Below are 15,335 nucleotides of genomic sequence, written 5' to 3'. Positions count from 1 at the left end.
GCAATCTGATGCCAGAGCCAGCACTTTTAACCACTATGCAATACCTATTCCCACATTCACTTGCACAGATGAATTAATAACTACATAAATACATTAATAAAGTGGAAGGACAGACATAGATTGTATCCATAAGTCTGCCTAGGGAAGTAAAGAGGATAGTACTGAAGACTGAGTTTGTTTGATTGATGCATGTGAGGAGTGTGTGCCAAGCACAGAGAATCATACCTGCAAAGCCACAGATGCAGGAGAAGTATTGCAAGGGAACAAGCAGTTCAGTTTACTTGGAGTATAAAGTGAAAAGAGGAAGGGAAGGAAACAGGGTAGTAAGAAAAAGTTGATGAGGCCAATAGGAAAGGAAAAGCTTATAGTCTATACAAAGCAGTTTAAATTTTATCCTTAAAGATTTAGGAAGCCACTGAAAAAATTTAATCAGGATGGAGACACAATTCTATTTGTGATTGAGAAAGAAGATCCTTCTGGTAGCGGTGTAGCACAGACTTTCTTAAAGTTGAGTAGGCTACATTCTTTCAAGAGAAGAATTTTTTCCTGAACACTTCAGGGACTGCTGATACTTTTAATTATAATGTTACTATATAACAAAATATAACTTCCATATTGTTACAGCTTTTAGTCATAAAAGCAATATAAATGTATATCCTGTCTAAACTAAACTACAAACTAAATTAAAATATAGTTAAAGGGCCGGGCTCTGTGGCTCACGCCTGTAATCCCAGCATTTTGTGAGGCCAAGGCAGGCAGATCACCTGAGGGTGGGAGTTGGAGATCAGCCTGGCCAACATGGTGAAACCCTGTCTCTATTAAAAGTACAAAAATTAGCTGGGCGCGGTGGCGCACGTCTGTAGTCCCAGCTACTTGGGAGGCTGAGGTAGGAGAATTGCTTGAACCCAGGAGGTGGAGGTTGCAGTGAGCCAAGATTGTGCCACTGCACTCCAGCTTGGGCAACAGAGCAAGACTCCATCTCAAAAAAAAAAAAAGTAGTTAAGCATAATTTAATGCAATGGTGTTTTACTTAACGTAGTTGCTTATTCAGAACATGCAGTGGTATTAACTGTTTTGATGCAGGTTCATCAGAGTTTGAAGAAAAGGGAAAAGGAGATCTGAGAAGTTGCTGGTGGATTTAAGTTGGATCATTTTTAATGTCCTTCAGCAGTCATAGGTAAATAAATCCCTTTTAAATTATATTTTGGCTGTTGAACTACACTTGACATAACTCTACTTGCAGAATAACATCTCAGACTGAACCTCACGGATTATAGCTTCAGTAGTAACAACTACAAGAATTTAAACTTATTATATTTTTCTTTCTACGCTAATCTAAAAATGCTTAATATAAACATATAAACGCATTCTGTATCATCTATATCTTCATAATAAAGCTCTGCTGCAAGATTTTAGTGCCTACATTTGCTTTTGAGTTTACTATCCAATTACTACTATTTGAATTATATCAGATTTGTGTGAGGAAATGGGGGTGGGGGATTCTTAATAGGTAAATGCTGCTTTCCATCACTTCTGGCTGGATAAAAGCTAACCGATTCAAGGAGTTCAAGGAGTTCTGAAGAAGAGAAAAATGTTCAGAATACCTGGAAACTGGAGGAAGAATTAAGAAAAGTCTGGATAAGCCTGGGCGCGGTGGCTCATGCCTGTAATCCCAGCACTTTGGGAGGCCGTGGCGGGTGGATTGCCTGAGGTCAGGAGTTCAAGACCAACCTGGCCAACATGATGAAACCCCATCTCTACTAAAAATCCAAAAAATTAGCCAGGCATGGTGGCAGGCACCTGTAATCCCAGCTATTTGGGAGGGCTGAGGAAGGGGAATCACTTGAACCCCGGAGGCGGAGGTTGCAGTGAGCTGAGATCACGCCACTGCACTCTAGCCTGGGCAACAAGAGCAAAACTCTGTCTTGAAAAAAACGAAAAGGCTGGATGAAAGCTAAATTTACCATTTATTGAGTGTTGACAATGTGCTAGGTACTATTATATCATCTGACACTTTTTTTTTTTTTTTTTTTTTTGAGACGGAGTCTCGCTCTGTCGCCCAGGCCGGACTGCGGACTGCAGTGGCGCAATCTCGGCTCACTGCAAGCTCCGCTTCCCGGGTTCACGCCATTCTCCTGCCTCAGCCTCCCGAGTAGCTGGGACTACAGGCGCCCGCTACCGCGCCCGGCTAATTTTTTGTATTTTTAGTAGAGACGGGGTTTCACCTTGTTAGCCAGGATGGTCTCAATCTCCTGACCTCATGATCCACCCGCCTCGGCCTCCCAAAGTGCTAGGATTACAGGCGTGAGCCACCGCGCCCGGCCGACACTTTTAATCCTTACAAAAACCCTATTAGATTCATATTACTATCTGTTTTTATGGGGAAACTGAGGCTCAGAGAGCTAGAGTCACACAACTGGTAATTAACAGAGACAAGATTGGAACCAGCTGGGACTAACTCCAAGTCTATGCTCTAAACTATTAGGCAATACTGCCCAAATGAAAATGATTACATAGTAATTAAGTATATTAACAAAAAGATGATTTTGTATTCTTACTCTATAAATCAAAAGTCATGTTCAATTGTGGCAAGTAGGTTTTCTGAGAGATTTATCTTCATGAGAGATTTCAATAGATTGGTCTGGAAAACTCTGTGGCAACTCAAGGTAAAGTAAAAGGGAGGAGACGCAAAAACTGCTTTAACACTAAAAATCTGTAAACAAAGTTAATGGTAATCCCTCTATTGGAATGGAAATCCCAAATCAGTAATAATAGCTCATGAAAGCAAGGTGTCAGAAAACTGCTTTGCCAGCAAATCATTTGTCTGTTTAGAGCTCATCATTCTTTTTTCTTTTTTAAATCATCACGGATCAACATTTTTAATTTTTTTTTTTTTTTTTTTTTTTTTTAGATGGAGTCTCGGTCTGGAGTGCAGTGGCGCGATCTCGGCTCACTGCAACCTCCGCCTCCTGGATTCAAGCGATTCTCATGCCTCAGCCTCTGGAGTAGCTGGGATTACAGGCACGCGCCACCACACCGAGCTAATTTTTGTATTTTTAGTAGAGACGCGGTTTCAGCATGTTGGCCAGGATGCCCTGGGTCTCTTGACCTCGTGATCCACCCGCCTCTGCCTCCCAGCGTGCTGGGATTACAGGCATGAGCCACTGCGCCCGGACTTTTTTTTTTTTTTTTTTTTTTTTTTTTTTTGAGACCGAGTTTCACTCTTGTTGCAATGACGCGATCTCGGCTCACTGCAACCTCCGCCTCCCGGGTTCAAGCGATTCCCCTGCCTCAGCCTCCCGAGTAGCTGGGATTACAGGCATAAGCCACCATGCCCGGCTAGTTTTGTATTTTTAGTAGAGACGGGGTTTCTCTGTGTTGGTCAGGCTGGTCTCGAACTCAGGTGATCCGCCCGCCTCGGCCTCCCAAAGTGCTGGGATTACAGGCGTGAGCCACAGCGTCCAGCCAACGTTTTTAATTCTTAAAACTGTGTTTGAATGAGTGTTGGGTTTTTGTTGTTTGGTTTTCTTTGGGGTAAGGCGGTTATCACCTTACACAAAAAATTTACATCATAATATGAAAATGCCCATTGGTTCATTCAAGGAAAAACATAAAGAATTTCTAACAGAATGGATTAATGGGGTGGAAGAAATTTATCCATTCTCTAAAAATTTTTCAAATCCCAAAAACTTTTTTTTTTCATTTTACAAAATATTTACTTCAAACAGTAGCTGGCATTTTGCATTTAAGAGTTCGACCAAAAGGGACAGAAATATAAATTGCTAATTATTAGCAATGGAAATGAAAATGAATCAGAAGTGACAATAAAGATTTCTAAAATTACAAGTCGATGAAAAATGAATTTACTGTAAATTGGTTAACACAAATCGCTGTAGTAACATATCTGCTATGTGAAATTTTTAAAATAAAAACCAGGGCGGAGAAGGGGAGAAGGAGATCTCTTTCCAAGGCCCACCACCCAAATTCTAATTCTTAGTTCACAGATCCAAATAATAATAATGTGTTGTTCTATGACTTCTAGTATTAAAAGTAAATATAAATTTACTCTGCATATTAAACATTTACATTATTCTAGGACTTCTCCTTTAAATTACGATAGTACACACACAAAAACCTTATTTATCTAATTGCCTTTCGTTGGCACATAAAGACAAAGATCGTTTGCAACATAATCGCGTTCTGATAGGTTTGACCCTCTCTAGTCTTCGTAGAAGGTGGCCAAGGTTTCCGTTACCCCGGCGTCCCTCGGGCACCGCGGAAACGAAACTCCATCAGGCTCCGCCCCACGGTCTGCGGAGTGAGCCAATCAGGGCACAGCCTGCGTTGACCGCGTGCCGGGTGTCATGGCGGCCTGCAGGTACTGCTGCTCGTGCCTCCGGCTCCGGCCCCTGAGCGATGGTCCTTTCCTTCTGCCACGGCGGGATCGGGCACTCACCCAGTTGCAAGTGCGAGCACTATGGAGTAGCGCAGGGTCTCGAGCTGTGGCCGTGGACTTAGGCAACAGGTAAGGAGTGACGTGCGTTCACTGTATTGTCATAAGGTGTCTTGTCCAGCCAGCTTGAGCGTATTCATCTCCCAGGGTAGAAACCCGGTATCCCAGCTCTATTTAATCTCTCCTTACCCTAAACCTAAATTCCAAATTTCCCTTTCCGGGTTTGGAATGTGTCTCCTCGGACCCTCCTTCCCGCGCTATGTCGTTCTCTCTGTTGGTGTGTGCCGGGCTTCTTTGCTCCATCCGACTCTGTCCGTCCACCTGACTTCCGATCTCTTTACTTTCCGGGACCACTGGGCTCTTAAGTGGGAAACATTCCACCTAGGAATAACGAGTTGACGTGGGTGAGACGAGGCCCCCCGGGATGCTGGCCCGGACCCTGGAAGCTGGGGCTCTGATGCCCCTCGAGCTGGGACACAGACCTCAGCAGAGGCTCCGGGTGGCTAGTGCACCACGGGTCCCCCACGTCCCACTCCTCGGGCTCCTTCAGCCTCCTCTTCACCAGGAGCCTACCTTGTAGAAGTTGAACACCAGGTCCAGTTCACAGACATTGTGGAAATATTCGTTTAAGACCTGGGAGAGGAAGGCAGAGATGGTAAGAGATGGACAGGGAGAGAGCCACACACGCACAGAGATGGGAACAAGGTCATCAGAAAGAGACAGCAAAAAAAAGAGACCAAGAGGGAGGCAGGGGAGAGAGAGAGACAGTGACAGGGAGAGAGGCAAGGAGACACACAGAGAGAAACAAAAGCAAAGATCGATGCAAAGAGATGGCAAAAGGTCAGGCGCTCACACCTGTAATCCCAGCACTTTGGGAGGCTAAGACGGAAGGATGACTTGAAGTTAGGAGTACAAGATATCATGTCATCCAATCTAATTGATTGCCTAAAGTGTGACCACTATGACCCTGGGTTAGGAGGAAAAGGAAAAGTCAGTTTTTTGAACGCCAGTTATATGATCCTCGCAATCTTTTTAAACCTGTCGTAAAGGTACTATTACCCTCATTTTATAGTTAAGACTACAGAGGCTCAAAAAAGGTTAGATAACTTTCTAAGAGTCTATAAAAAAGTTAGTATTATGGGACTAGGTGGTTTTTGAATTTCTGTTTTTTGCTTACAAAGCCCATACTTTTTTTTAGGGGACCGCTTTTTAAAAAAAAAGTTTGCTTTAATCGTTCTTAGAATAAATGGAATTGCTAATGCAAACTTCATATATCTAAATTTTTTACGTGTACTTTGAAAAAATTTGGACCCCAGTTCATACAAAAAGCAAAAAAATCATTTTGAATCCAGGTCTCGCACTCTAACTTTGATAAGTAGTTGACATTGAACAGGTTAATTCACCATTTTCTTGTGCAAAGTGTGGAGAGTGGATTCCATCAAGGGTCTGCAAACTTTTCTATAAAGGACCAGATAATATATATATTAGGCTTTTTGGGGTACACACTGTGTGTATGTGTTTACAAACCCTTTAGAAATATTTTAAAAAACGGCCGAGCACAGTGGCTAACACCTGTAATCCGAGCACTTTGGGAGGCTGAGGTGGGTGGATCTCCTGAGGTCAGGAGTTCGAGACCAGCCTGGCTACAATGGTGAAACCCCGTCTTTACTAAAAATACAAAATTAGCTGGGCGTGGTGGCAAGCACCTGTAATTCCATTTACCTGGGAGGCTGAGGCAGGAGAATCGGTTGAACCCAGGAGGCAGAGGTTGCAGTGGCAGAGATCGTGCCATTGCACTCCAGCCTGGGTGATAAGAGTGAAACTTTTGTCTCAAAAAAAAAAAAAAAAAAAAAAAATATATATATATATATATATATATATATATAAACATTTTTAATTGAAGAGTAATATAGAAATAGGCCACAAGCTGTAGTTTGGTCACCCCTAGACTAGGTTATCTCTAAGGCTTATTCCACTCCCAGCATTCATTAATTCTGATTTTTGAGGGAAGTGGACATCTCTTCCATTCTTCAAGGACTACACATGCTTCAAAGAAATGCCCAGAACATTTCATTCAACAGACACATACTGTGAGATAGGCATTAGATACTGAAAACAAGATGCAGCTGCTGCCCTCCATATTTTCCATAAATAATCTACTTTGACTCTTTCATTTATTAATCAACCTGTTCCTCTTTTGTAGGTAGTTCTTTTTAAACTCGTGTCATGTGTTGAAATAACTAGACTAATAAAATATCATACCTGCTGGATAAATTCTTTCATTTTTGTCTTGTTTGCCATTGGCAACATTTATTGAGTGACTACTATGTACCAGGCACATTATATTTGTTATCATATATATTCTTTACTGCATTCTGGAAGATTATATAATTATTGTAGGTGTTTTTCAGATAGTATATTTAATGCTTACAGTAACCTTGGAGGCAGGTGTTTAATTTTCATTTCAGCAAGCTTTTATTGAGCATCTACTATGTATCAAATCACTGAGGATATTCAACAGAATATGCCACAGTGGGCAAAATGCTAAGGCAGTAGCCCCGTTAGTAGAGTAGAACTGTAGCTTTCACAGTTTTTCTTCCCTGTGTTTTGGGCCCACTTCTGTCTAGTTAAAGATCCTCCACTCCCCTTCACAGAGATCACTTAGGTATTCAGAATTTACATTGGTAGACAGAATGCCAGTTCCTGGTAAGTTTTGAGAAGTACTGGTGGCATGTTACTCAGGGTTAAACAAAATTTCAAGATGTCAGATTTACATTTGCCTCATGAAACCATTACTTAATACTGATTTCAGCTATAGGTTGTTGCAGGTCTGTGATACTACACAGTGTGACTGGTTTTGAGTATCTCATTCCTTCCATCTACTCAACATACTAATCCAGCATCAGCCTCTCTGTACCTCATTCCCATTAGTCACAGGAGACCCATTTTATTGTAGGCTTTCATCATTATAACATCTGTGTTGAATAAATAGAAACCCAACTAGAATTTCTCAAATATTCCCTGATTTTAAAAAAAAACTAATATTTCAGAGTCAAGAATTTGATACTACAAAATCATTGTATTTATTAACATATATTAAATGTACATACTTTGTTCTGACTTTCAAACTTAACAAAATGAGTCTAACTGAATAGATAAATATGCTTTTCATTAACTCAGGCTTCTGGCAAAGGTATTTAACAGGTGAAAATATTAAGGGTTGTTCCTTCATCTCCTTGGTATGTGAAAGACAGAATAATCTTACTTGGGGTAGGGCATTGGGCCTGTCTACATGCTTGTGTTTGGTTTGTGCATTTTCAGCACCAGACTATGATAGAATGTTGCCGAAACTGAGTTCATGTGACACAACATCTTTCTCTTTCTCTGTATCTTCAGGGGTCACTGACTTGGTTTCATCTCAAAACACCTTTTGATGAATCTTGAGCTCTTTGACAAGTTTTGCTGGTCTGTTTCAAGACATCAGTAACCTCTTTTTGCATTCTCTGCTGAAACTAGGGAATAAGGCTAATAGTGCTGCCTATTTCATGTATATAAGACACCTTTATTAAGATATAATTCACATACCATACAGTTAATTTAAAGTGTACAACTCGTCTGGGAGCAGTGGCTTATATTTGTAATCCTAGCACTTTGAGAGGCCAAGGCAGGAGGATTGCTTGAGTCCAGGAGTTTGAGACCAGCCTGGGTAACATAGTGAGACCTCATCTCTACAAAAAATTTAAAAATTAGCCCAGCATGGTGGTGCACACCTGTATTTCGAGCTACTCGGGAGGCTGAGATGGGAGGATCACTTGAGCCTGGGAGGTCAAGGCTGAGATGAGCTGAGATGGCACCACGGCACTCCAGCCTGGGCAACAGAGCAAGACCCTATCTCAAAATAAGTAAATACAGATAAATAAAGTGTACAGTTCAATGGATATTAGTATATTCAAAGTTTTGCAGCCATTACCACCATCAATTTTAGAACACTTCTATCACCCTAAAAAGAAATTCATTAGTAGTAGTCACTTAGCGTTTCTCCCCAGCCCCAGGTAACCACTAATCTACTTTCCATCGCTGTGGATTTGCCTATTATGAATATTTCTTACATGGAAACATAGTCTTTGGTGACTGTCTTCTTTCACTTAACATAATGTTGTCAGGGTTTATCCATGTTGTGACATGTATTAGTACTTTGTTCCTTTTTATCGCTGAATAATAATCAGTTGTATGGATTATACCACATTTAGCTTATCCATTCATCAGTTGATGGACATTTGGGTTGTTTCCATTTGGGAACTATTATGAATAATGCTACAAGGAACATTCATAACAGCTGTCAAGTGGTATTCACTGTGATTTGGATTTGTATTTCCCTGATAGTTAATGATATTGAGCATATTTTTATGTACTTACTGGCCATTTGTATGTCTTTTTTGGAGACATGGCTATTCAAATCCTTTGCCAAGTTTTAAAATTCAGTTGTCTTTATTGTTGAATTGTAAGCATTCTTTAAATATTCTAGATATTAACACAAGTCCCTTATCAGATACATGGTTTGCAAATATTTTTCTCTTAATCTATGGTGTTTCTTTTACTTTCTTAATTAAAGTTTTAAATTTTGATGAAATCAGCTTACCTATTTTTTTCTTTTGTCATTTATGCTTTTGATGTCATATTTAAGACTTTGTGTGGCCCAAGTCTCTGAAGATTTACTCCTGTGTTTTGTTTCTAAAACTTTTATTGTTTTAGCTCTTACGTTTGGGTCTAGGATCCATTTTGACTTAATTTATGAAGATTCATTCTTTTTTGCATCCAGTTGTCCACTATTGCCTCAAAAGGCTACTCTTTCCTCATTGAATTGAAAATTGTTCTTTCCCCTTCTGTTGAACATGAAGGTCCTTATAGGCAATATTTAGGAGTTTATATTTTGTCCTAAAAGCATTGGGAGAAATTCTAAAGTTTTTTGTTGTTGTTGTTGTTGTTGTTGTTTTGTTTTGTTTTGTTTTTGTTACAGAGTCTCACTCTGTCACCCAGGCTGGACTGCATTGGCACAATCTCGGCTCACTGTAACCTCCCCCTCCTGGGTTCAAGCAGTTCTCTTGCCTCGGCCTCCTTGGTAGCTGGGATTATAGACACGCAACACCATGCCCAGCTAATTTTGATATTTTTTGTAGAGATGGGATTTCACCATGTTGGCCAGGCTGGTCTTGAACTCCTGACCTCGGGTGATCAGGCCTGCCTCAGCCTTTCAAAGTCCTGGGATTACAGGTGGGAGACACCACGCCTGGCTAAAGGATTTTTAAGTAGGGAAACAATCCTGTTTGTATGTTAAAACATTACTGTAGTCAACAAGGTGAGAGATGATAAGAGACTGTACTAAGATGGTAAATGGAGCCAGGCACAGTGGCTCATACCTGTAATCCCAGCACTTTGGGAGGCCAAGGCAGGAGAATTGCTTGAGGCCAGGAGTTCAAGACCAGCCTAAACAATATAGTAAGAACTCATCCATACAAAAACTAAAATTAGCCAAGTGTAGTGGTGTGCACATGTAGTCCCAACTACTCAGGAAGCTGAGTTGGAGGATCGCTTGAGCCTAGGTGTTCTAGGTTGCAGTGAGCTGTAATTGTGCCACTGCATTCCAGCCTGGGCAACAGAGCAAGACCCTGTCTCAAAAAAAAAAAAAGAAAAGAAAAAGAAGATACAAGGCACAAAGACCACCCCCCACCTCAAAAAAAAAATAGATGGTACATGGGAATTAACATTTAGGGAAGCAGTTAACTTCTGAACCTCCAAAAGACTTTCCTGTTCAGATCAATCCTGTGCCTTGGTTTCCGTATTCTTCTTTAAGCCACTCTTAAATTCCACTTTTACTTTTGATAATGATCATGGATTCTGCCCCTTTTTGTTGGTGGAGTGGGTGGGTTGGGGGTTAGAATCTTCCCTTAGAATCTTTTATTATTTTATACTAAGCAGGAATTGTACAGATGACCTAAGTCTTCTTGTATTGCATTTTTATTTTTAAACAGGAAATTAGAAATATCTTCTGGAAAGCTGGCCAGATTTGCAGATGGCTCTGCTGTAGTACAGGTAAAAAGTCCAGATTTTTAAAATTCATCTTAAAAATGGTTACGGAGACTCATACTAAATGTGTAACTACAACATCGTGTAACTACTTAGAATTTTGGTACTGGAAATTAATTCAGATACTACTAAGATAATTTCTACTGCAAGAATCATTCCAGACAACCAGAGTCCAGAGCACTGCATGTATTAAGTGACCTATTTTTTTTTTTGAGGTGGACTCTTGCTCCATCTCCAGGCCGGAGTGCAGTGGTGCGATTTTGGCACACTGCAACCTCTGCCTCCTGGGTTCAAGCGATTCTTTTGCCTCAGCCTCCCGAGTAGCTGGGACTACAGGCGTGCACCACCACACCCAGCTAATTTTTGTATTTTTAGTAGAGACGGGGTTTCACCATGTTGGCCAGGATGGTCTCGATCTCTTTTTTTTTTTTTTTTTTGAGATGGAGTCTCACTCTGTTGCCCAGGCTGGAGTGCAGCGGCGCGATCTCGGTTCACTGCAACCTCCGCCTCCCAGGTTCACGCCATTCTCCTGCCTCAGCCTCCTTAGTAGCTGGGACCACAGGCACCTGCCACCACGCCCAGCTAATTTTTTGTATTTTTAGTAGAGTCGAGGTTTCACCGTGTTAGCCAGGATGGTGTTGATCTCCTGACCTCGTGATCCGCCTGCCTCAGCCTCCCAAAGTGCTGGGATTACAGACGTGAGCCACCGCGCCTGGCCTGGTCTCAATCTCTTGACCTCGTGATCCACCTGCCTTGCCCCCGCAAAGTGCTGCAATTACAAGTGTGAGCGACCGTGCCCAGCCGTATTAAGTGACGTTTAACATCCTTTCCAAACTTGGGCTTCTGTTTTATGCGTTAATAAATTCTGTTGTGCTTTTCTAGAGAAAGTGATTTTGGTATTTTCTTCTATAGTAATAATTGGGGAATTTTTCCTTATGTATAGCCACATAAGAAGTAGAGAATACTATTCAATTCATTGAATATGACTAAATTACCTGTTAATCTTTCCTTATTTTGATTCCATAGCTTTTGAAAAGCTCAGAGATCAAGATTGGACTACTTGTGAATATTTTTTATTTCATAATCGTGTCGTAGAATTAGATATCTTTTCTTGAGTTTAATTGGAGTAAGGATTTATTCAGTTGCTACTTAGATGCTAATATCTGATTTCAAAGGAACTTACCAGCGTTGTTCTTTATGTTTAAGTCAGGTGACACTGCAGTAATGGTCACAGCGGTCAGTAAAACAAAACCTTCCCCTTCCCAGTTTATGCCTTTGGTGGTAAGTATTTGCTGATTTATCTGAACTGTAATATGGTCTGAGTAAAGTGTAGAATGTATAATATTTTTGTCCAGTGTCTAGTGAGTGGAAAATACAAACTTGCACAACAAAGAATTTTTCCTAGTTTTTTGATACTGATTCATTAAAAGAGTATAAACTGCTTCATAAACAAATACTAGGATTAAGCATACTTTAGAATTTGGAACGTCCAGGTGCGTAAGTTGACAAGAAGATTGGAAGTGCATGAGTACTTTGACATTGAATAAGCAATGAATTCATTGCCCTCATAGTTTCCCTTCAGTATGACTCTGCAAGTACAGTCAGCCCTCCATGTCCTTGGGTTTTGCATCCATGGATTCAACCAACCATGGATCGAAAATATTGGGGGAAAAATTGCATCTGTACTGAATATGTACAGACTTTTTTTCTTGTCATTCCCTACGCAATACGGTATAAAAACTATTTATGTAGAATTTACATTGTATTAAGGATTATATGTAATCTAGAGATGATTTAAAGTATATGAGAGGATATACGTAAGTTATAAACAAATACTATGGTGTTTTACATCAAGGATTTGAGCATCCATGGATTTTGATATCTGCAAGAGGTCCTAGAACCAATCCCCCAGGGATACCAAGAGACAACTGTGTATATTTAGTAATGAGCTCATGAGAATTTTATAGCTCCCTTCTATTATGAAAAGGGGTGTACAATTATATTTAACAGAGTTGATACCAAAAAAAAGCAATGTTTGACTTGATCAGAATGAGCATCTGTGGCAAATAGTGAGTCTTCTTCCACTTTTACTGTTGAGTAGAAGACTTTTTTTTTTTTAAGAGACAGGGTCTTGCTCTGTCACCCAGGCTAGAGTTGTTCAGTGGTGTGATCATAGTTCACTGCAGCCTCAAACTCCTGGGCTTAAGCAATCCTCCCACCTCAGCCTTCTGAGTAGCTAGGACTATGGGCACAGGCCATTGTGCCCAACTAATTTTTTTTTTGTTGGGGGTAGAGACAAGGTCTTTCTGTGTTACCCAGGCAGTTCTAAAACCCTGGCCTCAAGTGGTCCTCCTGCTTTGGCCTCCCAAAGTGCTGGGATTACAGGCGTGAGCCACTGCACCTGAACGTTTTTTAAAATCACTTTGCAGAAACATTTCTATCAACTTTCCTCTCCCCAAAAGATACAAAATGCTAAGTAAATAACATTTTCTACTCTGAGTCTAGACTGTGTTGTTAGCAACCTCAGGAGAATTAGCATTCATACAGTATAGTTTGTTTCTGCAAAAAGAATTATATGAACTTTTTTTTATTGCTGCTTCAGGTTGACTACAGACAAAAAGCTGCTGCAGCAGGTAGAATTCCCACAAACTATCTGAGAAGAGAGATTGGTACTTCTGATAAAGAAATTCTAACAAGTCGAATAATAGGTAAGATATTAACATAGAGGCGTTCATCTTCTCTGGTATGCCTATGTTAGCATCTCTTCTCTTGCATCTGTGTTCTACAATAAGTCTTAAGTTTTCCTTCATAGCATTAACACCACCTAAGATTATTCACTCCTTCTCTTCCCTCACTCAAATGTGGGCACTGTGAAAGAAAAAACTTTTATTTCTTCAGGGTTGAATCCCTAGTACCTGTTATACTGCTTAGCACAGAATAGGCATTCAATAAATATTTGTTGACTAAATGAGTAAATCTCTATTGAGCATATGAATTTTTTGGCCCATGCCTCTACTTTGTTGAATCTATTCCTAGTACATTTTTTCATGTTCAGAATAGTAATTCCTAAACATTATGTTCATCAGCTACTGAAATATGTCCATAATCTTTCAAATCTTTAACATCCCTACATATTGTGGGATCATATGTAATTTATAGCTCTTCTACCCAGAAATTGCTTTTTTTTGAGACAGAGTCTTGCTCTGTCACCCAGGCTGGAGTGCAGTGGCACGATCTCGGCTCACTGCAACCTCTACCTCCCGGGTTCAAGTGATTGGGATTACAGGTGCCCACCACCATGCCTGGCTGATTTTTGTATTTTTAGTCAAGATGGGGTTTCTCCATTTTGGTCAGGCTGGTCTTGAACTCCTGACCTCGTGATCCACCCGCCTCAGCCTCCCAAGTGCTGGGATTGCAGGCGTGAACCACTGTGCTCGGCCAGAAATTGCTATTTTATGTATATTTATATACAGTCTTCAGACACAAAGTAGCAAGGAAGCATTTTCTTTTGGTCTGCTATTGGTCTTAAGTCTCTTTGCTCTGCTTATATATGTAACTGTTGCCTGTGGAACCAGAATGAAAAATTGCTCCCCAATCTTTATTGTTAATGTGCTTCTTCTGTGTTTGTTTTTTGTTGTTAGGGCATGGTATGTAATAATGGAAGCACTGACATTTATCTGTGTCCCTCTTAGTAAATCAGTCCAAGGGGATTTTTCTTGAAAACATATTGAATGGCTATCTATATTAGTTCAAACGTTTTGAACTGTAAAGCAACTCTGTCAGTACGGTTTAATGTGTTTTTTTTTCTTTTGGCAGATCGTTCAATTAGACCGCTCTTTCCAGCTGGCTACTTCTATGATACACAGGTAGATTCTGCTTTAGGTTTTTTAGTTGCCAGATCAATCAAAAATTACTTAATGAATCTCTGTAATATTTCCTAGAGTAAACATTATAAAGAACATAAGAATTTTTTATGATACTGTTATATTTTACATTACGTTTTTGAAAAAAGATAGTACTTTTTTTTTTTTTTTTTTTGAGACAGAGTCTCACTTTGTCGCCCAGGCTGGAGTGCAATGGCACGATCTCAGCTCACTGCAACCTCAATCTCCCAGGTTCAAGTGATTCTCCTGCCTCAGCCTCCTGAGTAGCTGGGATTACAGGCACGCACCACCATGCCCGACTAATTTTTGTATTTTTAATAGAGACCAGTTTTCACCATGTTGGTCAGGCTGGTCTTGAACTCCTGACCTTGTGATCCGCCCCCCTCGGCCTCCCAAAGTGCTAGGATTACAGGCGTGAGCCACTGTGCCTGGCCAAAAGATAGTGCTTTTAAAAAGCTAACATTTATTCAGTGTCTGTTTGAGTTGACACCTGAATTTCAGTAGGAGTTAGCCAACCAAGGTGTGTCAGGGAAGCATTGAAAGCCCAGAGGCAGGAAAGAAATTAATGAGTTTAAAAAGAAGATCAGCGTGACTACAGTGAGTGGAGACCAAATCAGGCTGGGAATAGGACAACTAACGTAACTAATTTTTATTACCTAATTTTATTGCTGGATCCTCTGAACCTCTACTTTATTATATTTTAATACTTCCTGAATAATACTTTCTTTCAGGATAATGACACATATACTTAAGTAACCATTTCATTCATTTGAAATAAATAAATACACCTTGCAAATATGCCTTTGCAAGAATATCACAGCCTTAGCCTCAGGAAGTTTTTTTTGTGTCTTGTTTTGTTTTGAGTCAGGACCTCTGTTGCCCAGGCTGGAGTACAGTTGGCATGATTATGCCTC

General features: G+C 40.4%; 1 protein-coding gene across 4 annotated transcripts in view, besides 4 other annotated features; it reads left to right on the top strand.

The window, feature by feature from the left end:
- Window positions 4,155-4,304: an enhancer, noted in NCBI's record as "active region_15787". NCBI's record gives its function as "activates an Ori minimal core promoter by ATAC-STARR-seq in GM12878 lymphoblastoid cells {active_cell/tissue: GM12878}" and the evidence as "EXISTENCE:reporter gene assay evidence [ECO:0000049][PMID:35858748]".
- Window positions 4,335-4,394: an enhancer, noted in NCBI's record as "active region_15786". NCBI's record gives its function as "activates an Ori minimal core promoter by ATAC-STARR-seq in GM12878 lymphoblastoid cells {active_cell/tissue: GM12878}" and the evidence as "EXISTENCE:reporter gene assay evidence [ECO:0000049][PMID:35858748]".
- The window catches only part of PNPT1 (polyribonucleotide nucleotidyltransferase 1), a 59,784-nt gene continuing 48,792 nt past the window's right edge, over window positions 4,344-15,335 (top strand). For 2 of the 4 annotated variants that reach the window (NM_033109.5, XM_047446161.1), the window contains exons 1-5: window positions 4,344-4,525; window positions 10,483-10,543; window positions 11,744-11,818; window positions 13,140-13,245; window positions 14,354-14,403. In NM_033109.5, coding sequence (NP_149100.2) covers window positions 4,365-4,525; window positions 10,483-10,543; window positions 11,744-11,818; window positions 13,140-13,245; window positions 14,354-14,403 — 453 coding nt within the window. In that variant the 5' untranslated portion in view covers window positions 4,344-4,364. The remainder of the gene's footprint in view (window positions 4,526-10,482; window positions 10,544-11,743; window positions 11,819-13,139; window positions 13,246-14,353; window positions 14,404-15,335) is intronic. The other 2 variants (XM_005264629.3, XM_017005172.2) reach the window with 2 other exon arrangements.
- Window positions 4,405-4,524: an enhancer, noted in NCBI's record as "active region_15785". NCBI's record gives its function as "activates an Ori minimal core promoter by ATAC-STARR-seq in GM12878 lymphoblastoid cells {active_cell/tissue: GM12878}" and the evidence as "EXISTENCE:reporter gene assay evidence [ECO:0000049][PMID:35858748]".
- Window positions 5,095-5,154: a silencer, noted in NCBI's record as "silent region_11501". NCBI's record gives its function as "represses an Ori minimal core promoter by ATAC-STARR-seq in GM12878 lymphoblastoid cells {active_cell/tissue: GM12878}" and the evidence as "EXISTENCE:reporter gene assay evidence [ECO:0000049][PMID:35858748]".

The sequence above is a fragment of the Homo sapiens genome, chromosome 2 (assembly GCF_000001405.40).
Source record: "Homo sapiens chromosome 2, GRCh38.p14 Primary Assembly".
Classification (NCBI taxonomy): domain Eukaryota; kingdom Metazoa; phylum Chordata; class Mammalia; order Primates; family Hominidae; genus Homo; species Homo sapiens.
The sequence above is the reverse complement of the archived record's forward strand: the minus strand, read 5'-3'. Positions and strand labels throughout refer to the sequence as shown.